Here is a 23,111-nt window from a genome sequence, read left to right as displayed (position 1 = left end):
GTCTCGCTCTGCCCTCTGTCGCCCAGGCTGCAGTGCTGTGGCGTGACCTCGGCTCACTGCAAGCTCCACCTCCCGGGTTCACGCCATTCTCCTGTCTCAGCCTCCCGAGTAGCTGGGACTACAGGAGCCCGCCACCAGGCCCAGCTAACTTTTTGTATTTTTAGTAGAGACGGGGTTTCACCATGTTAGCCAGGATGGTCTCGATCTCCTGACCTCGTGATCCACCCGCCTTGGCCTCCCAAAGTACTGGGATTACAGGCGTGAGCCACAGCGCCGGGCTGGTTTTTGCTTTTGTTTTTATAAAATTGTAGTGAAATATGGGTAACATAAAATTTCCCATTTTTGGTGCACAGTTCAGGGGCACTGGGCACACTCCCCCTGCCGTGCAGCCGTCACGAGCATCCATGGCCAGAACCTCTCACCTCCCCGAACCGCAGTTCTGTCCCCGTGAAACACTCACCCTCTGCCCCCATGTTCAGCTCCCCACACCTCAGAGATGGGAGATGCAAACCCGAGGCCAGTCTCTCCCCTGCCTGGCCCAGTGCCAGTGGGGATTTTCGGGGGACGCGGGGCAGGCAGTGGATTTTCGGGGGACGCGGGGCAGGCAGTGAGTGTTACAGAGCATCTCTGCTGGGTCTTTACAAACAGGCACCAAGACCTTGGAAACCAGGGACAGGTGGCAGGCGCAGCTCCTGGCGCCCCCAGAGGAGAGGCGAGGAAGGACGGGTGGGTCGCGGAGGAAGGGCTCACCCACCTGCTGGACACCCTGGGAGCTCCCAGCCCCTCGGCCTCTCATCTGGGTGTCTCAGGCTGCTGGGGCTAGGGTAATATGTTGAAATGGAGAAAGGCCAGTGGCTCCGGGGGCAGAGAGCAGCAGCTGTGCTCACCCTGCCTGGTGGGGGGTGAGTGTCTGGGGTCCCTGAAACGGTTGCCCAGCCTGGGCCCTCGGTCTGGGCCCTCCCTTCCCGGCTAGGGTCTGCCCCAAGCTCTCCACACTCCCGGCTGCCCTGGGGTTACCCATCGCCCCACAGAGGGGGCCAGGCCACCGCCTCTGGGGACCCTGGGGGTGCTGTCCCTCTCCACACCCAGCTGGGTGGGTGGGCAGCAGGGTGGTGCCAAGAGCAGAGGGAGCTGACAAGGGGAGAAACAAAAGAAACATTTGGAACTTGTAAAATTGTCCTCAGGCATGTAAATTCCTTGTCAATTTCCTGCTAATTAGAAACAAGGGGGAAGGGGAGCGGGAAGGGGCTAGCCCCAGCGAAACCTAATTAGCTCCATTTCCAAAACCAAATACTGTTCTTGGACACAGCTCCACCAAAATATTGTGAAAGCCGAGAGGCCTGGCCGGCCCACTGCCCAGAGGGAGTCCCCTGTGCTGGTGGAGGGGTTGGGTTTCTGGGGTTGGGACCCGCCACCTGCCCGCCCCTGACAAACACTGTCAAAATAACTGCACGCGCTGGGGCTGACGCGGTTCTAGGGGAACGGGGCCTGCGGGGCTGTCCTCTGGGCAGCAGAGCCCGTCCACAGGAGCTGGGGTGTGGGGTGAGGAGACCGGTTTGGGTGCCTGTCCTGGGTGAGAGCTGAATCCCCTGGGTGGGGCTGGTGGTGAGTTCCTGGCCCCCATGCCTGCTCCCCTGCAGCTGGCTGACAAGGGCAAGGCCAAGGCCCTCCTGAGCCTTAGCAAATCTCGGGCTCCTGCAGGCGAGGAAGTGCAGGCCACACAGAGGTCCTGGAGTGAGTATGAGGTGGGGAGAAGGGGCTGAGGGGCAGCCAAGAGAGGGTGGGCAGACTGGCCTCGGGTCCCTACCCCACAGCTCACACTCAGAGTTGGGGTCATCATGGCCACTCATGAGCACAGGCTCACTGGGGTCCCCTCCCTCTGTTCCCTTCAGGGTGTCTAGTCCGCCTCCCAGGCCCTGTGGGGGCCTTTCTGGGCCTCTCCTCTGCCCCCACCCTGAGCTCCAGCCCTAAACGCCAGGGCTCCTGGGCTCCCGGGCTCCCAGGAGCTGTGCGGAAACCATCTGTCCCCACCTCCCTTCTCATCCCCCACAGCCTGGGCGTCCCTCTCCACAGTCGGGACAACCTCCCAGTCCACCCCTCCCCACTGACCCCACCCCGTGTGTCCAGACACCTCTCGGATCCCCTTGGGGAGACGCCCCAGCCCCTCTGCACTGAAGCAGAACTCACCCCACCGTCCAACTGCTGCTCCCCAGGTGCACCCTCCCATAGCCCAGGCCAGAAACCGGGGGCCACCTAGACCCCTCTATCCCTCCCTGCCCCCAATCTCCCTCCTAGATATCACCGATGCCGGCCCCTGTGGGGCCCCACACCTGTATCGCTTCTCACTGGAACCTGGTAACTAACCGATGGCTTCCTGCTCCAGCCTCCTGGTGTCACCCCAAGGAGAACTTTTTAAAATGCAAATGAGATGTCGCCCTACCAGAGGAAACCCAACTTGGAGATAAGGACCCACACCCATCCCACCTCCAGCCAGGCCCTCTCCGGTACCCTGAGGGGACTCGCTGGCACCAGGACTCGGCTCTGCTGGGCCTGAGCTTCCTCTTCCCCAAGGCCCCACCGGCTCTGACTTCTCAGCAAAGACAAAGTCTGCATCCCTTCTTCAGGGATGCCTGCTGCCAATGGGGTGAGCAGCCCCTCTGTCCACCAGGACACGGGGCTGGGGGGCTGGGGGCTGGGGGCTGGGCCTCGTGCAGCCCAGGTCTAGCCGAGGCCACCGGGTGTGTAAGCCAGGAAGTGCGGGCTTCTGTGGGCTTCCTCCAGCCCCCACAGGATGCATCCTCCTCCTGAGCCACCCCACCATCCCCGGGCTGCTGGGGGCTGCAGGGCAAGGCCAGGTCCTGAGGAAGCCGGTGGGGCTAGGGTGATGAGGAAGGTGGGCACCAGCTCAGCTGCTCCCACCTGAGCAGTGAGAGGTCTTGAGACAGCGTGACCTGGGAACTGAACCTGCGCCTGGGGGTGGTCCTGGGCCCCTGGGTTTAAATCCTGAGGGGCAGGCCCACCCTCTCCTCTAGCCCCCACCCTGGCCTCGATGACACCTGGTGGGAGGGCTAACCTAGGCTGGCCTTTCCCTTGTGCCCCAGAAGCTCCTGCGCCCCCTCCCCACCTCCAGCATGCCTGCTCCCCACGCCGGTCCCATGCTGCACTTGCCTTTTTGGGTTCCATAGAAACGGTGCTGCCCATAGAGAACGTTGCTGTTTCCATGGTGATCCAAGTGGCTCACGGGTAGGAAGGTGGATGCCAGACTCCCCGAAAATCTGGGGTACCCCGGAGCTAGAGAAGCAAGAGACCCAGTTGCAGAGGCAACTCCCAGCCCCCTGGCCCACACTCGCCCTGACCCCAGGGAGGCAAGAAGCCGGCAGGCAGCCCAGGAGCGATGTCCCGCAGAGCCCAGCACGCAGCCGCCGGGGGGAAATCAACCCATCAATACATCATATTAACTCTGACTCCACTAATGCCATCCCTCCGGTGCGGCACAAATTGAATTGCTGATGGGCTGGGGAGAGGGGAGGACGGACGAGGGGGCCTCTGTTCCCTCCTAGCAGCACTCAGGATCGCGGAAGCTCCCAGGCTGGGCAACAAAAGGGACTCTGGGGAGGTTTTGTGGGAGGAGGGGGCACGGTGGACAGACTCTGCGCCAAGGCCCTGGCCAAAGGAGAACCAGGCCCGGACTTGGCCTCCCCAAGGCAGGCCCCAGGGCCCAGTGGACAGCCCAGGCCAGGGGCCAGTGCTGCTGGGGTGTGGCCAGCCTCCCCCGACCCTGGCTGGAGGTCACAGGTGTGTCCATCCGACGCCGAGTTCCCACCATGGCCAGGCCTCTTCCGGCTCTGAGATCTGCACAGGGTGGGGAAGGGACGGGGGCAAAGAGTTCCTTGCACAGGCCCCAGCCCCAAAACCCCAGGCGGTGACTCCGAGTCATGCCAGACAGGCCCCTCTCTTGGCTAAGGGGTCTGTCTGTCCCTCAAGGCAGCCACATTTCTGAGCGGCCTGCCCCTGCCCAGCACAGGAAAGCCAGCCACACCCAGCCACCCACGCGGCTGGCCCTGGGCCTTGGGACAGCTCTGGCTGTGTGGGGCACACTTGCCCCCACCCAAGGGATGAAGCACAGCTGGCAGGTCAGGACAGGGCTGAGCATGGCCTGGGAGGCCTGCAGGCACCAGAACCCAGCCCAGGGGCTGCAGAGAGCATGTCTGCTGGACACCAGGGACACCAGCCACAAGGAGTGTGGCTTCTGGTTCCCCAGCAAGACCCCAGGCCACTGGCAGAGCTCTGAGACTCAGACCCGCCCAGCCCCAGCCCCAGCCCTCCGTGCAGTGCAGGTGGTGCCAGTGCCGGCCGGCCTGCCTTAGCAGCTGCCTGAACGTGAGGGCCGAGCGGCTGGCTGTGGTTGGGGGTCTGGCAGCCTTCTGTAGGCCTGAGGAGAAGACGTTTGAGGCAACCCACAGCTTCAACCTGCCGGAATGAACGCAGCTGGGCGGGGCAGGGCGGGGGGCCCTCACCCTCTAAAACTCCTGCTCTGAATCTTCCCTGGAAAACAGGCCCCCTAGTCCAACTGGGGCACCCCACACCGCAATCCCAGTGGGTCCCCCAGCAGTGGCAGGCACTGTTCGATCCTCTCTGGCTCAGTGGATCCCAGGGAAATCTGTGGAGCTTGAGCCCCAGGAGATGCTCCAGGAAACCCAAGCTCTGGGTCACCAGCTCCAAGAATGCACCCCACACACGTCCCATTTGGAGTCGTGTAGGGCGTGAGCACAGGGAAGGCCCTGGGAAGTCCTGCGACACGGAGGCCTGCTTGACAGGGTGAAGCCCCATCTCCCTGTGAGGCCGCACATCCCAGGCCAAGTCTGGGAACCTGGGGAGGGCGCCCTGGCCCTGGTGCAGCCCTGCAGCTGCCCTCCAGCTGAGGACACGGGGCTGAGGCTCGAGCCTGGCCGACTGGCCTGGTCTGTGTGGGAGCTGCATCTGGAGCAGCTGTTTACCAGATTAAACTCCAATCCTGGAAGATTCGACCAAAGCTGAGAGGGACGGGGTGGGAGCGACCTGGGGCGGGGGTAGGGGAGTGGCAGGGCAAGGGGCAGGGCCTTGGGGGGTACTGTTAAACCTCCACAGCTGTCCCCCTTTAATTGGCTGCTGTTAAATGTTTTACGAGGCCTCATTTTGGTAAACAGAAGTCTGTAAATTCCTCCTTCCCAGACACCGTTTCCCAGGCACGGAGCCCCGGTCCCCCCTCCAGAGGTCCAGGCCTCCAGCCCATCCGCTCTCTGCGGGGAGCAGGCAGTCAGCTGGCAGAGGAGTGGGCTCCTTCCCGCCGGTCCCCTCTGGGGGCAGCTGCGGGTGGGCAGCTATGCGTGTCCCTCAGCTGCTGGGCCTTGGCTGGTGGCCCCTGGGCTGGTGAGCAGGGCAGCACTGGCCAGGGCCCGAAGACCAAAGGCCTGGCTGGTGCCCCCATCCTTGCCTGCTTGGGTCCCCACCTCTGAGGACCCAGAGGGGAAGTTAGGGAGCCAGGGAAGGAGGAGGGAGTGGGGAGATGGGATGGAGGGGCGGGGAGCAGAGAGGGAGGGGCTGGGTGCCGGAGAGGCCCAGTCGGCAGGGTGGGGTCATCTTTGGGCAGGGGGCAGAGAAAGGAAGGGAAAAGGTCCTCCCAGCCCAGCGACAGAAAGCCCCTTTCTTTTTCCCAATAAGACCATACTCTCAAAACTGAGAAAGAAAATTTAAAAATGATTTTTATGAATCAGAGCAGCTGTTCTGAGGCCAGAAGCCAGAAGGCAGGGCTGCTGTGGCTGGGCCGGGGACACACAGGCATCCTGGAAGGGGCTGCCACTGAGGAGTGGGGGAAGGCAGGGCTGCTGCGGCCGGGCCGGGGACACACAGGCATCCTGGAAGGGGTTGCCACTGAGGAGTGGGGGTGGTGGTCCTGGGGAGGGCTCCAGGGGGACAGTAGAGGCCCCAGATGGCAGGGAGGGGACATTCCGGGGCCAGAGACCAAGAGGGCTCAGCCAGCAGGGTCTGGGGCCATATGAACCCAGAGCCAGAGGTCCTCAACTGCAAGCTCCTGCTAGAACGTCGGGGCTCCAGAACCTCCCCTTCCCAGACCCCTTTGAGACGGGAGCTTTTATGATCACCCCAACAGACAAGGGCAAGCCCTGGGCTAAGCGAACCGCCAGAGAGGTGGTCAGGACACAGGCTGCTGGTGCCCTCGGAGCCTGGTGGAGCGTGGGGAAGAGCCCTGGGGGCAGTGGGGGTCGCACCGAGGTCCCCACATCCTGCCCCTGCTACTGCGGTGGGCAGGAGACTCCAAACTCAGTCCTGTGATGGGACAGACTGCAGGAGACAGAGGCTCAAAGCCACAGGCACCTGATGGGTTAGTAAAGCCAGGGGGCCACGCGTGGGCTGGGCGGGGGACACAATGGCCACACCCCCAGACCCCTCCCAACCACCCCCAGGCCTGAGCTCACCACGTCTGGGGAGGTCAAGGGTTGCAGGTAGGAGGCCTGTGGTGTGGGCAGGAGGAGAGAGAGTGGGCAGTCAGTGGGGGTCGGGGGTGCCCCTGGGGCAGGGCTGAAGGACAGAGGAGTGGGAGGGCACCGTGCAGAGAAATGGGGGCTGGGGACGGCCAGGGGTGAGGGGACCCTTCCTTTCCTCCTGCCCACCTGGAGAAGGGAGGCCTGGTGGCTTCTCACCCCTGGGGAGGGAGGAGGAGCCCCCACCCAGGGTGCACCAGCCCTGGCTGCCTGACGGGCACCCCCACTCCAGGTACCTCATCCCCCTCATCCCTCCTGCGTTCTGACACAGCACATTTTCCCAACAGCCCCGCACGTCGAGGCCCTGCCCTCTCCAGGCCAGCCCTGCGCCTTCCTCCTCTTGCCAGATCTGGGGAGGTGGCCACAACCCACCCCCCAGGCTGCCCTTCCAGGGAGCATCCCTGCCGTGGAAAACCAGGGGCTGCTCCTGGGTCTCTCAGGATGCTGAACTTGGGGTATCTTCACGGCCAGGTCTAGGAGGGAGGGACGCCAGCCAGCAGAAGGACCAAGATCACCTGGGGGGTCAGGGGACTTCCCACTGCAGGGTCACCCAGGAAGCCCCACTTGGGGCCACAGAGCTCAGGGCCAGGATGCTGCAGGCTCAGCAAACTTCTGGGGGTGCTGAAGCACACCTCGAGCGCCCTGCCCCAGCCCGCACGCCTTTGAGGACAAAACCTTCTACAGCGGACACCCCACCATCCTGACAAACGGCAGTGCCTCCTCCCTGGGGGAAGGTCTGCCACGCTGGCCTCCCACGGCTGAGCCTCGACCTGTCTCCCACTGCAGTACCACCTCGGCTCCCACATGCGCCTGGCTGGGCGGGCAGTGGGTCATGCAGTCAGCTGGGCGTGGCCCCGAGCCTGGAATGTGCACGTGGGCAGCCAGCCTGGGAGGCCCTGGGGAACGTGGGAGGCTGTGGGCACTGTCTCAAATACCCACTGTCCAGCGAGGGCCCATCCTCCTGGCTCAGAAGCAGACACCCCTCCCCCACCTCCTGCCAACTCTGCCAGATCCCCTGTTACTCCCCCCACAGTGACCCCAGGGGAGTCCCGGGAGACCCCTGGCCTGGCAAGTGGTCCCTGCTCCTCTTGAGGTTCTGCACATCGTCCCTGTCACGCAGGACGTCCCTGCCGTGCAGCCACACGCACGAGGCTCAGCCTGGCCTCCACCCGCCCGCAACTCAGCACTGGCTCTTCACGGGACACCCCCGTCACTCAGGGTGTCAGTGGGTTTCAGGTGCAGTGCACGGGTCTACCCGATGACCGCCAGGCCCCGAGTGCTGGGCTGACACAGATTCTGAAACCCTGTCCGCATGCGGCACACAAAGTGCTGTAGTTGACGGATGATGGCTGCCCTGAGCACACGGGGACCTCGGTGGACTGACGACACCTGCCCGGGGCACAGGAGGGGCCTCGGTGGACTGATGACACCTGCCCGGGGCACACAGGGGCCTCGGTGGACTGATGACTCCTGCCCTGGGCACAGGAGGGGCCTTGGTGGACTGATGACACCTGCCCTGAGCACACGGGGACCTCGGTGGACTGATGACACCTGCCCTAAGCACAGGAGGGGCCTCGGTGGACTGATGACACCTGCCCTGGGCACACAGGGACCTCGGTGGACTGATGACTCCTGCCCTGGGCACAGGAGGGGCCTCGGTGGACTGATGACTCCAGCCCTGGGCACAGGAGGGGCCTCAGCAGTGACTGCAGCTATGGGCAGTTCCCACTCCCACTCTAGGGCCGGAAGGGCCTACAGCCTTGCAGCGGCCCCTTCCCTAGTCCTGTCTGCTCTCTGCCATACACCCCTGCTCCCACACACGGCCCCTCACCCCAGGTGGGCAGGCCCCCGGGTGTCCAGGCTGTGTTTCAAAGTGCAGCTCCCGGGACATGAGTGGTTGCGGGGCGGCACAGCAAGAGATTCGTTCTTGGAGCTGGAGTGCCCAATCCTTGGGGCCCCCTGAGGCTTCAGAAGCTCAGCCTCTTCCCCATCCACAGGCCTGCAGGGAACTGGCCCAAGTGGTGACCCACAGCTGCCTCAGGGGCGGGCCGGGCCAGCTCCATCTGTTCCCAGGCTGAGCAAGGTAGCTAAGAGCGGGAGCAGGTGCCAGGTTCCCATGGGAGCCTCCAGAATGAACGCAGTGGGCAGCCTGCCCAGGATCCAGGCACCAACCCCACAGGGAGGAGCGCAGCCTTCCTGGGGATGGGGGGAAGGGTGGGCCTGGGGATGGGGGGGGAGGTTGGGCCTGGGGATGGGGGGAAGGGTGGGCCTGGGGATGGGGGGGGAGGGTGGGCCTGGGGATGGGGCGGAGGGTGGGCCTGGGGATGTGGGGGGAGGGTGGGCCTGGGGATGGGAGGGAGGGTGGGTCTGGGGCTCGGGGGGAGGGTGGGTCTGGGGATGGCGGGGAGGGTGGGCCTGGGGATGCGGGGGAGGGTGGGCCCGGGGATGGGAGGGATGGGGTCTGGGGCTCAGGGGAACAGGTGGGCCCGGGAGGGTGGGTCCAGGGCTGGGGACGGAGGTTGGGTCCAGGGCTGGAGGGGAGGGTGGGCCCGGCGATGGGAGGGAGGGTGGGCCTGGTGATGGGTGGGAGGGTGGGTCCGAGGCTGGGGCCGCCCTCAAGCCACAGGGGGCAATGGACAGTTCTCGGAGCGTGGAGCTAGAAGCAACCACACGACCCCCAAAACCTTCGCCGGCACCCTGGACATCAGCTCTGGCTACCAGGGAACTCCCTTCCGCCTGTCCACCAGGACCTTCCTCACGTTCCCCAGGCAGCGTCCTTGACACATAGGTCATTGTACCGGGGCCACAGGCATGACACCAGCCAGCCCCACACACAGGCACACAGGAGACGGTGCACCTGCCGGGGCGGCTGCACCATCGGTCAGATCCAGGGATGTCAGCCTAGGAAGGCCGCACCCCATCCCCAGTGACCAAGGCCACTGGCCCCAGCAGTGGACAGCCGCTGCAGGACACGGGAGGGAAGTTGCTCTTTGTGTCTGTATCACATGGGGTCTGGACAGCTGTTCTCATGGGTGTGGCAGATAGAGAAACTGAGGCTGGGCATATGAACTCGAAGCTAAGACAGCTCTGGGTCTGTGACGACCCCTGCCCTGCCCACCTGCCCTGCACATAGCAGGGGCCCATGCCGCATCTGCCACAGTCCTGCCCTGTCCTGCGGTGCCTGGGTGTGCGCAGGGGCTCGGGTGCAGCCTCCTGGGTCCCAGAGCAGCCTCTAGCCCAAGTCCCTGGCTAAGTCCCTGGCTCCTGGAGAGCAGGAGCTTGCGGGGCAGAGGGTACACCTACTCCAAAGCACGGCAGGTCAGAGGGCAGGGAGGGGATGAGGGGACAGGCTCTCAGTCACACACAATCCTCAGCCTCAGTTTCCTCAGCTGTAAAATGGGCGCAAGCACCACTGTGCTGTGCAGCATTGCCAGGGGGAGGCAGGTGCCATCCCAGGGCCAGGCTCATAACAGAAGTGCAGTCATCCTGCCCAACCTCAAGCCAGGGCTGGTCCTGGGAACCCTGAAGCTGCAGGGACCAGGCCCTTTATCCAAACCAGGGGTGGCCCTCTCCCCAACCTCCCTGGGGCTCAGGTTCTGCCACCTGGGATGTCCCTATCCTGGCTTCCCCAAGTCTGTGTCTCCCCTAGCCACCTCCATACAGCCCTCTGCCAGGTGTGGACCTGGGTGCTGGTCACCATGGCCACGGGATGAAACCCCTGCACTCAACAGTGACTGGCAGCACTCAGCCAGGCCGTGAACATGAGGCTATGCATAAAGTCTCAGCGGGCTGGGGGTTGGGAACTGCCAGGGCCTGAGGGCAGACTCCAGTGGGGACAGGAGGCTGGGACCCTGGCAGGGTGGCCGGCCAGGGCAGGCCACGGTGAGGGGCCGAGGGTATGGGAGGGCTGGCTCCCGAAAGCCATAGGACACCTCCGGAGGGGGGATCATAGGCCTGGATGGGGCAGCCGCCCTCTGGCTGAGAGAAGCTGGCGGGAGGTAGCCGGCCCAGCAGAGCCCCTCCACCCCCACGCTGGGATCCCCACGCTGTCCCCTCCACCCCCACGCCGGGACCCCCACGCTGTCCCCTCCACCCCCACGCCGAGACCCCCACGCTGTCCCCTCCACCCCCACGCCGGGACCCCCACGCTGTCCCTCGCATCCCAGCGGAGCCAGCTTGTCCCCACTGGCCCAACTCTCCCTCGCACATGGGCAGGGACAGCAGGTCTAGGCAGGGCAAGGGCCACACCCCCCACATAGATGTGGTAGAAACGTCAGTGCTGGGGTGGTCAGCGGGCCTGTGGGAGACAGACCAAGAAGCTGTTTTAGCCACCGAGGAAACCGAGGCCGGGAGAGGAAGGAGGAGCTGAAGGGGTCTGGGAGGAAGCAGCAGGTCCCTGGCAGGCATCACAGGAAGGATGGAGCTGGGGCCCCAGTACCTCTGAGGACACTCGGGGTGGGTGGGCGCTGGTGGGACCTCTGTCCCTTAAACAGATGTGGTCCCAGCTCCTGCTCACTCCCAGCAGCACCAGCGAGTCCTGAGACCTCAGAGGGGACGAAGGGGACAGAGGAGCAGCTGGCAGGATGCAGGAAGCTGCGGGGCTCCGTTGGCAGGGAGTGCTCGGCATGCGTAGCCCCGGACCCCCAGGAGCTGGCCAGGCCCAGTGAGAAGTGGCCGCTGGTGGGGCGTGGTTCTGACCAAGAGGCCGGCCAGGCGGAGAGCCAGCGCGTGTGTGTGCCTGCCGCCCCCATGGCTCCCCCCAGGTGGCACAAGAGACCACGAGTGGCCTCAGTGGGGATCTCAGCAGCCCCTGCCCCCACCCCTTCCCAGCTGAGCCCCCCAGGAACAGAATCCTCTTTCATTGGCCCTGTGGGTGGTCCTGGCCAGGCAGCTGGGGGGCGCGGTGGGGAGGGAGGGGACCAGGCCTGCTGACAATAGGGCCAGCTGTGTGTGCCCCCACCCCTGCTCTCATCCTCATCCACCCAGGACAGGCTGCCCAGCAGGAGCTCACCTCTGCCCCTGGCCAGTTCCGCCTCCCGCCCCCACCCCAAGCCCCAGAGAGGCCCACCGCTGGTGGGAGCGCGAGCCTCGGGTAAGCTGCGGGCCGGGAGGAGCTGAACAGACAGGCTCTGCCCAGGCCAGATGTTCCGGGCGGCTCCTCCAGCTCCGGGCTGCCTCTGCTGCACCCCCAGCTGCTCCCCCGGGGAAGCAGGAAGCCCTGGCCCGCTCGAGGGGCTGCCCTGCAGATGGGGAGAGAGGAGGCCCCGCTTGGCATGGGGGGTTCCTGGGGCTACCCCAACCTGGGTTCCTGGTGGCCTGCCCCACCCTGGCCTACCTACCCTCAACGAAAGCCCTGGGCTGGGGAGGGGGTGGCAAGCTGGCTTGGCCAGGCACCTGCCTCCTGCCCATCCTGGGCCACTAGGAGGAAACGTGGGCAAGGCCAACCGCCCAGGCAGCCCGCTGTGCCTGCTGGCCCCCACTCTCCGGCCGAGTCGCGTGCCCCCCACCCACCTCACTCCCCTTCCCCCATGAACACACACGGCAGAGAAACAGGCCCGGCGCACGGGGAGCCAGCTGGCACCCTGTCAAACTAGCAGCCAGGCATGCTGCCCGGGCAGCCAGCCAGCCTCTCACCCTGGCCCGCCGGCCCTGGCCTCTGCCGCTCAGCTCACAGCGCGGCAGCTCCATGTGGTCTGTCGGGGAGCACGGCTGCGTGGCAGGGAACCCCCGCAGGGAGGGGAGGGGATCCCGGGGGGTGGGACAACTGAACTGAAGGCAGAGCAGGGGACAGCAAGCTGGAGCACGGGCCTCGCAGGTGTGTGGCCTTGGAGGCTCTGCCACCCTCGGGGGGCACCCACACCCATCCTCAGCCCCGGGTGGGCCTTGCATTCTGGGGCCCAGGCGGGCGGCTCAGAGGCCACGCCCTGCACCCCCTTGTCCCGCCTCCACCCGTGCTGGTCCACCCAGCCCACTGTCCCGCACACGTGCCCACCCCCACCTGACACGGACAGCGGGAGATGCGTCTCGCCCAGCCAGGGTGCCAGGTGCCCAGCAGGGTGGACAGGTGAACCTCCTCGGTGTGACACAGCCAGGGCCACTGTGGGCACTGTCCTCTCCTCCGGCTCAGGCCACCCCCGCCTGGAGGAGCTACTTCCCTGGGACGCAGATAGAAGGGGCTCAGAGGCCCAGACGCCAGGGGCTCACGTCGACACTTGTGGCAGGACATTGGCTTCCCACCCAGCCAGGGGGACTCCCAAGGGCTCGGGAGCAGATGGAACCCACCGATGCCGGGCCCCATGTGAGGGGCTGAGAAGTGGTGGGGGTCCCCGGGGTGGGATGTGGGCAGCTCCGCCCAGGCAGCCGTTGGCACAAGGGGAAGTGAGTGTCTAGAGGCCGTTGTGGGTGCTGTCTGCCTGTGGGCCACCACACACCCACCCTCTGAGCAGCCCCCAGAGGGGCGGGACGGGGGCTCCAAGGCAGGTGGTGCTACCCACAAACGGCCCTCCTTGCTGCTGGGGTCCCCCAGGGTGGGTGGAGGGAGTGGGGTAGGAGCTCTCTCCTGGTGCAGAGAGCATTGGGGATGGGCTGGTGCCACTTCTGGGCCCTGACTAGGGGCCACCACTGCCAGGAGGGGAAACCAAGTCAGTGGTCCTAGGTGGATCTGTGCACCTGTGGCTGGGCCAGGACCAGGCAGCGGCCGTTGCGTCTGTTGTGGGGGGTTCACCACGGCTGCCGCAGGCCTCCCCTTCCTGCTCCCCCGGTGCCAGGCCACCCTCCTCCCTCCCACAGACATCCTGGGAGCCAGATGCTGTGGCTGGCCGGGGCGTTTGCCCACAGACACAAAAGGCTGAGGCGGGGTGGGGCATATGAGCCAGGAAGGCGGGGCCCCCACAGCCAGCCCAGGAGCCATGGCCAGCCTGGTCTCCCCTCCAGGAGGCCGCTAGTAGTGCAGGGGTGGGAGGAAGGGGCAGGGGAGTCTGGGCAGGGGAGTCTGGACCGAGGACCCCATGCTGCCCACCGCATCCCAAGGTAGCGGCCTCCCCTGCACCCAGGAAGAGGCCACTCCTTATCGCCTGCCCAACATGTGCGCCCTGAGCCGAAAGCCCAGATTATTTCAGCAACTGTCCCTCACTCGTCACCTGTTCTGTTTGGAAAACAGCCCCTTTCTTGTTGCACAAAGAGAGGTTTCTCTGCTTCCAGCAGTGCCGGGTGCTAATCTCCCTGCCTGGAACGGGGCGGTGGCGTGGTGTGTGGGTCCGCGGCGCTCTGTAAACACGACGCCCGCCGCTCAGCAGTCATTGAGTTACGGCAGTGCTGGGTGCCAGGAGCGGAGAGCCCTGTGTGCCCGCTGCCAACTGCAATTACCTCTCTGCGTGCCAGCCGCGGGGGGCGGGGGGAGCTTAACCCTTCCCACGCTGTAGGGTTGGGGTGGCCGAGGGAATACCAGCAACTGTGGGCCCAAGGACATGGGGGCCCAGGGCCGCCTCCTAGGCTGCAGGGCAAGGGGTCTGAGCAAGCACGGGGATCCAGGCAGGGGTGCCCTGCCACGGAAAGGCCAGGGGGGCCTCCAGGAGTCTCCTGCTGGCCAGGCAGCCTGAGAGTAGCCAGTATTCGCGAGGCACCTACTGTGTGTCCAGGGCTGTGTCCCACGGGGAGGCAGGTGGCCTGGGAGGAACTCTTTGTCCTGGGACAGGCCCCTGGGTGGCAGCCTGTGTGCGCTGACAGCTCTCCCCGCCCCGGCCCCCTCCTCCAGCTGGCACATTTGGAGCCCGCCTCCTAGCGTCTGGGGAGGTGGGGCACGGCCACTGTGAGGGTGAGCCCAGCCCGGCCGGCCCAGCTGTGCTCCACATTTTCTCAGCTCCCCAGAGCCCCTCCTGGCCCCCCTGTTTCCCCTTGCTGCCCATCTGGAGCACACATCTGGCCAGGACCACTGCCGAACAGGCTGCCCTTGTTTCCAACCAATCACCACTTCCCCCGGGGCTTCCTCGGCAGGGAGGCAGCCTCACCCGAGCCTGCTTGTCACCGTCCACCGGCCAGGTTCCCACGGCCACGATGGGAGCCCCTCACCTGCCCCTGGCCCGGGCACCAGGGTCAGTCTCTTGGCCACCAGGGTGTCGCTGGGAGCCCAGTCCGCCAACTTACCTTCGTGGGAGTGGGAGAACCAGATCTGGGAGGTGGTGGGGTGGGAGCCACGGTAGGCCTGCTCAGGGGGGGAGGAGCTGGGGCCGCTGGGGTGCGTGGAGGCTGCCGAGCCCAGGCTGCTGGTGAGGAAACTGCCCATGAACGAGGAGGCCGGAGAACTTCCCATCAGGCGGCTGCTGGCTGTGGACACAGGGCAAGAGTGACTCTGGGGGCAGCTCCCAGGGTGTGGCCTGAGGCAGGGCAGGGGCAACACCACAGCCCTTCTCCACAGGGGACTCTCAGGCCCCAATCTCCCCCAGAGCCTTTGACTTTCAATATCCAAGAAACCGATGATGGGAAAGGTTACCCCCATATGCCTTTGACTGCCACACTCAGAGTCCTGAGTCTTTTGGTGCCCCAGGTGTCCTGGTACTGACACTCTCCTGCTGTTGCAAACCCAAGAACGACATCTTTGTCACAAGCACATCACCACCACCACCACCACGAGCCATATCACCCACCACTATCACCCCCAACCACATCACCCACATCACCCCCAACCACATCACCCACCACTATCACCCCCAACCACATCACCCACGACTATCACCACCAACCACATCACCCACCACTATCACCCCCAACCACATCACCCACGACTATCACCACCAACCACATCACCCACCACTATCACCCCCAACCACATCACCCACCACAATCACCCCCAACCACATCACCCACGACTATTACCACCAACCACATCACCCACCACTATCACCACCAACCACATCATCACCAACCACATCACCACCAACCACATTACCCACCACTATCACCCCCAACCACATCACCCACCACTATCACCACCAACCACTATCACCACCAACCACATCACCCACCACTATCACCACCAACCACATCACCACCAACCACATCACCCACCACCACCACCACGAGCCACATCACCACCAACCACATCACCCACCATCACCCCCAACCACATCATCACCAACCACACCCACCACTATCACCACCAACCACATCACCACCAACCACATCACCAATCACATCATGCACCAACCACATCACCAATGACATCACCCACCAACCACATCACCACCAACCACATCACCCACCACCACCACCAACCACATCATCACCAAATCACCAACCACATTACCCACCACCACCACGACCCACCATCACCCTCAACCACATCATCACCAACCACATCACCACCAACCACATCACACCAACCACATCACCACCAACCACATCACCCACCACTATCACCACCAACCACATCGCCACCAACCACATCACCCACCATCACCACCAACCACATCACCACCAACCACATAACCACCAACCACATCACCCACCACTATCACCCCCAACCACATCACCCACCACTATCACCCCCAACCACATCACCACCAACCACATCACCCACCAACCACATCACACCAACCACATCACCCACCACTATCACCCCCAACCACATCACCCACCAACCACATCACACCAACCACATCACCCACCACTATCACCCCCAACCACATCACCACCAACCACATCACCCACCAACCACATCACCCACCACTATCACCACCAACCACACCACCAACCACATCACCCACCACTATCACCACCAACCACATCACCCACCACTATCACCCCCAACCACATCACCCACCACTATCACCCCCAACTACACACCCACCACTATCACCCCCAACCACATCATCACCACTATCACCCCCAACCACATCACCACCAACCACATCACCCACCATCATCACCAACCACATCACCCACCACTATCACCACCAACCACAACACCCACCATCACCCCCAACCACATCACCCACCACTATCACCCCCAACCACATCACCCACCACTATCACCACCAACCACATCACCCACCAACCACATCACCACCAACCACATCACCCACCACTATCACCCCCAACCACATCATCACCAACCACATCACCCATCACTATCACCACCAACCACATCACACCAACCACATCATGCCAACCACATCACCCACCACTATCAGCACCAACCACATCACACCAACCACATCACCACCAACCACATTACTACCACATCACCTACCATCATCATCACCACCAACCACATCACCTGTCACCAACCACATCATCATCACCAACCATATCACCCAGCACTATCACCACAAACCACATCACCCACCACCACCAACCACATCAACACCACCCCAACTACATCACCATCACCACCACCACACAACACCAACCACATTATCATCACCAACCACATCACCTCCACCACCATGCCCCCAACCACATCACCACTACCATTACCACCAACCACATCATCCACCACCATTACCAACCACATTCAACAACAACCACACCACCACCACCATCACCAACCACAACAACCATATCATCATCAATCACCAATCATCATCAATAACCACATCACTCGCCACCACCACCATCACTGTCACCACCACTACCACCCAGGTGGGTGCTGGGTACTGTGCCCAATCAACTTTCAGGGTCTGTGGATGGGCCTCCTCTTCACAGGGAGAGCACCCTGACTCTCCCAGCCCACAGCTGTGGGCAGCTCCAAGGCCTCTCACACACTGGCGAACTTGCCAAAAAGGTCAAGGTGATACATGAGGCACCAGGGTCAGCGGGGCCCCAGCCATAGGCCCTGTGTCAGCTCCACGGGCCCCACAGTCTCGGCCCCTCCAGGCAGCACTGGGAGGAGCTGTTCTCTCTCCTGAGTGGGGTCTTCATCCCTCTACCCAGGCCCAATAAACTGACTTGTCAGACAGGAGTGCCCCAGTCTCAGGCGAGCAGAGGGAGAAACTGAGCCAGGGGGAAGACTGAGGGCGGGGGACAGAGGAAGGAAGGGTGGCGCTGAGGACGGATCTGCTTCTAAAATCCCTTCAGGATTCCTGGGGCTGGGCCCCGACTGGGCTGGCACAGAGCTGCGGATGGCGCTCACCTCTGGGTCAGGTGGAGGCCGCGAGAGGCTCCTTCCTGGGCACCGCCAGGATACCCCGCACTTCTCCTGGCAGCCTGAGTGTGGGAAATGGTGAGCCCCCAGCGCCCCAGGCCCCGCCCAGCCCAGCTCTCCCGGACCATCGGCCCGCCTGCATGCTTGCCTGTGGCCCCTCAGCTGTGCCCACCTCTGCCCAAGTCCAGTGGCCAAGGCCAGCCCGAGGGAGCCTCCCAGAGTTGCCATGACTATCGGCTCCTGCACACGGAGGACACAGCACACACAGATTTCTGCACACGGTGGCCCTGCTGCTCCGTGGGTGGTCTGAGGCTGTCACTGAGCGGCCCCCACTCCAGCCAGGCACCCTGGCACCTTGTCGTCTCCATCCCACGGGCAGCAAGCCTGGCCTGGGACCATTCCAGGAACCTGGGGCGGGGGGCCTGCCCCCTCGGGAAAGAGGGGTATGAGGCTGAGCGTGGGGATAGTGGGGTCTGCGGGGGCCCAGCCCGAGGTGAGTCAGGACAGCCATTCCCCTGCCCGGGAGGCAGGGGGAATTTGTGAATTTCTGATGCCTCATCCAGCCTGGCTTGGCCCTGGGAACTTCCCAGACATGAGGTGACTCAGCAGAGGCGGTGGGGCAAGGGGGGCGGCGGGGGCTGCCCTGCACGGCCCTGGCAGGCTCCTGCTGTGCTGAGCCAGTTCCCAGCCCAGGGCCCCCAAGGCCCCTTCCCCTCTCGTGTGCGAACGCAGCCATGTGGACTCAAGGGGCCTCTCCCAGTCATGGCAGCAGAGGAGGGGTCTGTGAGTGCTGGTGGGGGACGTGGGCTGTGAGCTGGCCTCTGCGGCGGGTGGGCGGGTGGAGAGGAAGAGCCGGCCCAAGGGACTGTGGAGCAGGGCCAGGCCCAGGCCCAGGGCAGGGGGTGAAGGTGCCCGCGAGCCAGGGGCTTCCCGGACCACAAGGCTGGGACTGCCATGGGCCGGGGCCAGACCACAGGCCCGGCAGCCAGGGAGGGGACTCTGGGTTGGGAAGGGAAGTGCTGGCTTCCCCTGCTTGGGGACACTGGGGCATGCCTGTGGGGTGAGTGTGGGCTCCCCTCGGAGTTGGAAGCTTGCCGCTGCCTCGCCCAGGCCCGCCTCGAGTCCCCCAGGCCTTCCCACCCCCACACCCTCCTGGGGAAGTCCCTCCCGCCTTTTCCTCCTCGGGATGGTGGGAAGCAACTAAGTCCAAAAGTTGGGTCTGGAGAAGGGATTTCTCCAGGATCCTGGCCTGAGAACCCTGTACCTTGAGCTCTCCCACACCACATCAGGTGGGGGCAGGACACTCCCCGGTGTCCCACGGGGCCCTCAGTGGGCAACCAGCCTGTCTCCGGACTTGGGGGACCCTGCTGTGCTGCCTTATCTGAGCCCACTGAGGAAGGGTCCCCGGCCCCACAGTCTGGGGAATGAGAGGGAAGGGGATGGGGGCTCTAGCCTAGCCCCTCCCTGCACCTGACCAGCCTCACCAAGCTGGGGGTCCCAAAGTGCTGTCTGTGCCCAGAGTCAGGCAGGGCTGCTGATCTGGGGATCTCTTTCACTTCTTTTTCCCTTTCATTCTGGAAACGGGCCACCTGGATTGCTGTCTCCTTGTCATACAAACATTATGTCTTTGTATTTTCACCATAATAAGCTCAGGTAATAAAGCACAAGAGAGACCAGACACGGTGGCTCACGCCTGTAATCCCAGCACTTTGGGAGGCCAAGGTGGTGGATCACTTGAGGTGAGGAGTTCAAGACCACCCTGGCCAACAAGGTGAAACCCTGTCTCTACTAAAAATACAGAAATTATCCGGGCATGGTGGTGCGCACCTGTAATCCCAGCTATTTGGGAGGCTGAGGCGGGAGAATTGCTTGAATCTGGGAGGCAGGGGTTGCAGTGAGCAGAGATTGTTCCACTGCCCTCCCGCCTGGATGACAAAGTGCGACTCCGCCTCCAAGAAAAAAAAAAATCACGAGAGGAAGCGGAGTCACCCGAGACCCCGGCCCTGAGGCCCTCGCATGAGCGTTCTGGGACCACTTCTGGGCACAGCTGCAAATACCCTTCTCCAGTATCACATGGGGTCGCATGCTGCACCCCAATTCCGTGCCCAGGCATCCTGCGTACTGAGCCTACCATGAGAGACCCTACCATCCCCCCCAAGGGACTGGGGTGGCCTCTTGCTTCTGGAAATCCTGGCTCTGGCGGCAGCTGCTGCCAGGGCGTCTCACTGGCTGCTCAGCAGGCCAGCACCTCGGAGACGGGACCAGGCAGGGGAAGAGCCTCTGCCCGGCATCCCCCTTGCCCCGTGAGCAGGGGCCCTGCACACGGCTGGGGGCTCTCAGATGCTTACTCTAAAGGCGTGGATTTCTCCCCCACTGTCCTGGCCTTGGCTTGAAACTTGGAAGCAGATTCTGCAGGCCCTGCCAGGTGGTCACTACTGTGGTGACCCCTGCGAGTGTGGGGGACGGGACTGCCGGCCACCTGAGGCCCTCCCTATCCCACTCAGCTCCCGAGGAGCCCGGGAAACCCCAGGACAGAGCATCACGCCTCTACTGTCACCCCCGCCTCCCGGTGTTTGGGGATGGCACCGTGACTGGCCAGCAGAGCCGTGGGCAGACCAGGCTGCCACCTCCCCAGCCCCCCCGCCGACCAGTGGCCAACCCCAGACAGAGCCTGTGCCTCAGCTGCCTGGGAGCCGAGTGTAGCCTGGGCTCCAGCCAGGGCCAGACCGTGTGGGCCAAGGCCAGCCGGGAACCGGGCTGAGGGCTCTTTCCTCTTGGCAAAGGAAGTGCTGTGGTTACCAGCCCAGGCGGAGGCAGCTGGGGGCCAGGGAGGGGGTCTTGACCTAGACCTCCTCAGACCAAGTGCCCCATCCTGGCACTGCCTGCAGTGGCACCTCCCCTACCTGGGGCTTCAGACTCATGTGACGTAGTGCCATCATGCTCCCAAGGTCGGTCGTGGGCCCGCCATGGGGCTGGTAAGAGATGGAGCATGACCAAGTCTAAGTTGCTGGTCCAGGCCCATAGCCCCAAGTGCTCCGCTGGGGGCTGAACACGGCCTGTCCCCACCCGCGTGCATGGTCAGGGCACCCTGGCCCCACACAGAGCCTGCCTGGGGCCGCTCTGCCAGGCTTCCCATCAGCTCTCATCACAGGAGGCAGCATGAGTTTAGGATGTTCCTGGGGAAGGGACAGTAAGCGGGATGCGGTGTCAGCGGGGCCACCGAGGACTGCACACTGGCCTCCAGTTGGCTGCCCCCACTGCCCAGCCGGCCCAGGCCGGGTTTGCAGCTCTAGATCCAGACCGGGCTCTGGCCCCAGCTCCAGGGCCACCTCAGCTCTGCCCAAGATGCTGTAGAGGCCTGGCTTGGGCGGCCGGCTAGCTGAGGAAATGGTTTCGGGAGACAGCAACACCAGGAGGGCTGTGGCCACCCCCAGGTGGCTCAGGTCCTCGGGCACAGCCCCATCCCTGGGAGGCCAGTCTGACCCGGAGCCCAAGGTCCAGCCAACTAGACCAGGAGGCAGGCTGTGCCTGGACCTGCTGTCCCAGGGTGGCCCAGCAGCGGGAAGACTGGGGAACAGCTGCACAACAGCTGGGCTGGAGTCTCGGTGCCCAGTGAGCCTGGCCCCGGCCCAGGGGTGCTGTGTGGGGAGGCCGGCACACAGTAGGTGAGAGCTGGCCACATGGGCTTACAGCAGAGGTGGCCCTAAGTGGCCAGGACAGCCGATGGGAACTAGCCTGCCTCCTGCCAACCTGTCTTCCAGGCTCCTTGCCATGGATGGCTAAGAAGGGCAACACATGCTGGGCAGCCTGAGGGGTACAGAGCATGCTGGGGCCCTGGAGCCCAGGACTCCCCGGAGAGCCACTCCCTCTGTAAGGGTCGGTCCAGCAGCCGTGCCAGCAGCCCCCATCCAGGGTCCCGAGGACCCACACAGCAGAGGCTGGGCCTGGGCAATCGGATGGCCAGGTGCCCACTGTGCCCCACCCCACTCTCCTGCCAGGCTGACCCTGCTCCGCCCTGTGGCACCAGACTGAAGGCAGACGGAACAAGAGGACGGCAGGGCCCGGGAGCCGGGAGAGGCGGGCGCGGAGCCGGCAGAGCGAGCATTTGTTTTGAGTTAAGTGAGCCGCCGAGACAGCATCCTCCTTTTCTGGAAACTGTGAAATGGGTTGTAAAAAAAAAAAAAAAAAAAAACGCCTCGTTGAGATGGCGGCAGCTCCAGAGAAGCAGCGAGGCCCTTCCCAGGCTCCCGGCTCCCGCTGCTTCCGGAAGCCCAGCTGCCGGGCTGCTGGCATGGGCCTCCCCGGCTCCGAGTCTGGCGGCTGCACCCGCCGCCTGCGTCAGCTCCCACCCCCGACCCACACCCACTCAGGCTCCCCTCTTCCCTCGGCACTGGCTTCCGCTCCACACCTTCCCCGCTCCCCACAGGGCCCGCCCAGGCGGGGGACACCAGGAGTGGCTGGGAACGGAGTGATGGGCGGTCCCAAGCACACTTCCCACGAGCCAGGCTCCCAAGGGAGCTGTGCAGGACGGGAGGGGAGGCAGGAAGGAGGAGCAGCCCCCCTGCTGGCCCTGCCCCACATTCCTCATTCCGGGAAAGCGCGGGGAGGAAGCCGCCCTGCACAGGTTCCTGCGTGGATGCAGAGGGGAGGTGCAGCCTGCTTGGAGGCAGGGGTGTAGCATCTGACCATTTGGCTGCCCAGAAAGAGGAATGAGGGACGGGGTGGGGAGACCAGGCTCTGCCTGGGGTGAGAGGCCACTCTGGGACCTCCGCCCGCACCAGGAGACCAGAAGCTGCTGTGGCAGGGGCTAGAGGCCCAGCCACATGCCACCCCAGTGTGCAGATGTGGCTGGGAGACAGGCAGGTGCATGCTGGGTGTGCAGGTGTTTGCAGGCTCAACCCCCAGATACAACCCAGTGATGCTTCCCCCACCCTGGCTGCAATCACTAGTGGTCCAGACTCGAGATGTGGGGTGCACCTCACACTTGCACACACTCACACTTGCACACACTCACACTTGCACAGAGGCAGGGGAGGGACTGTGTGTGACTCACGGGGTGTGTCTGTGCAAACCTGTCTCTGGGCATATGCACGTGACTATGGGTGTACACACAAGGTCTGACTGTGCTACATGTCTGGGATGAGTGGCTACACACACACACACACACACACGTACACACACACACGCACACACGTACACACACACGTACACACACGTACACACACACACGTCTGTGGGTGTGCGCACCTTGGCAGACTCTGTTCTCGGGCATGGGAGCCACACAGCTGGGCAAGTCCTCAAAGATGCTGCTTCCCAGGGCTCAGGCCTCCACCAGACTTATCCACTTACTGACCTGAACCTTGGCAAGGGCTCTTGGCCTCCGCTGTGCAAAAGGTGGCATTGAAGCGGCACCGGGATGAACAGCTGCCCTG

The 23,111-nt window shown here is 63.9% G+C and overlaps 1 protein-coding gene across 5 annotated transcripts in view; it reads right to left on the bottom strand.

The window, feature by feature from the left end:
- The window catches only part of BAHCC1 (BAH domain and coiled-coil containing 1), a 70,875-nt gene that overhangs the window by 24,671 nt on the left and 23,093 nt on the right, over positions 1–23,111 (bottom strand). For all 5 annotated transcript variants that reach the window (NM_001291324.3, XM_047436467.1, XM_011525063.3 and 2 more), the window contains exons 3-4: positions 14,682–14,861; positions 3,169–3,291 (exon numbers count right to left, since the gene is read on the bottom strand). In NM_001291324.3, the coding sequence (NP_001278253.1) occupies positions 3,169–3,291; positions 14,682–14,861 (303 nt within the window). The remainder of the gene's footprint in view (positions 1–3,168; positions 3,292–14,681; positions 14,862–23,111) is intronic.

The sequence above is a fragment of the Homo sapiens genome, chromosome 17 (assembly GCF_000001405.40).
Source record: "Homo sapiens chromosome 17, GRCh38.p14 Primary Assembly".
NCBI lineage: Eukaryota > Metazoa > Chordata > Mammalia > Primates > Hominidae > Homo > Homo sapiens.
The sequence above is the reverse complement of the archived record's forward strand: the minus strand, read 5'-3'. Positions and strand labels throughout refer to the sequence as shown.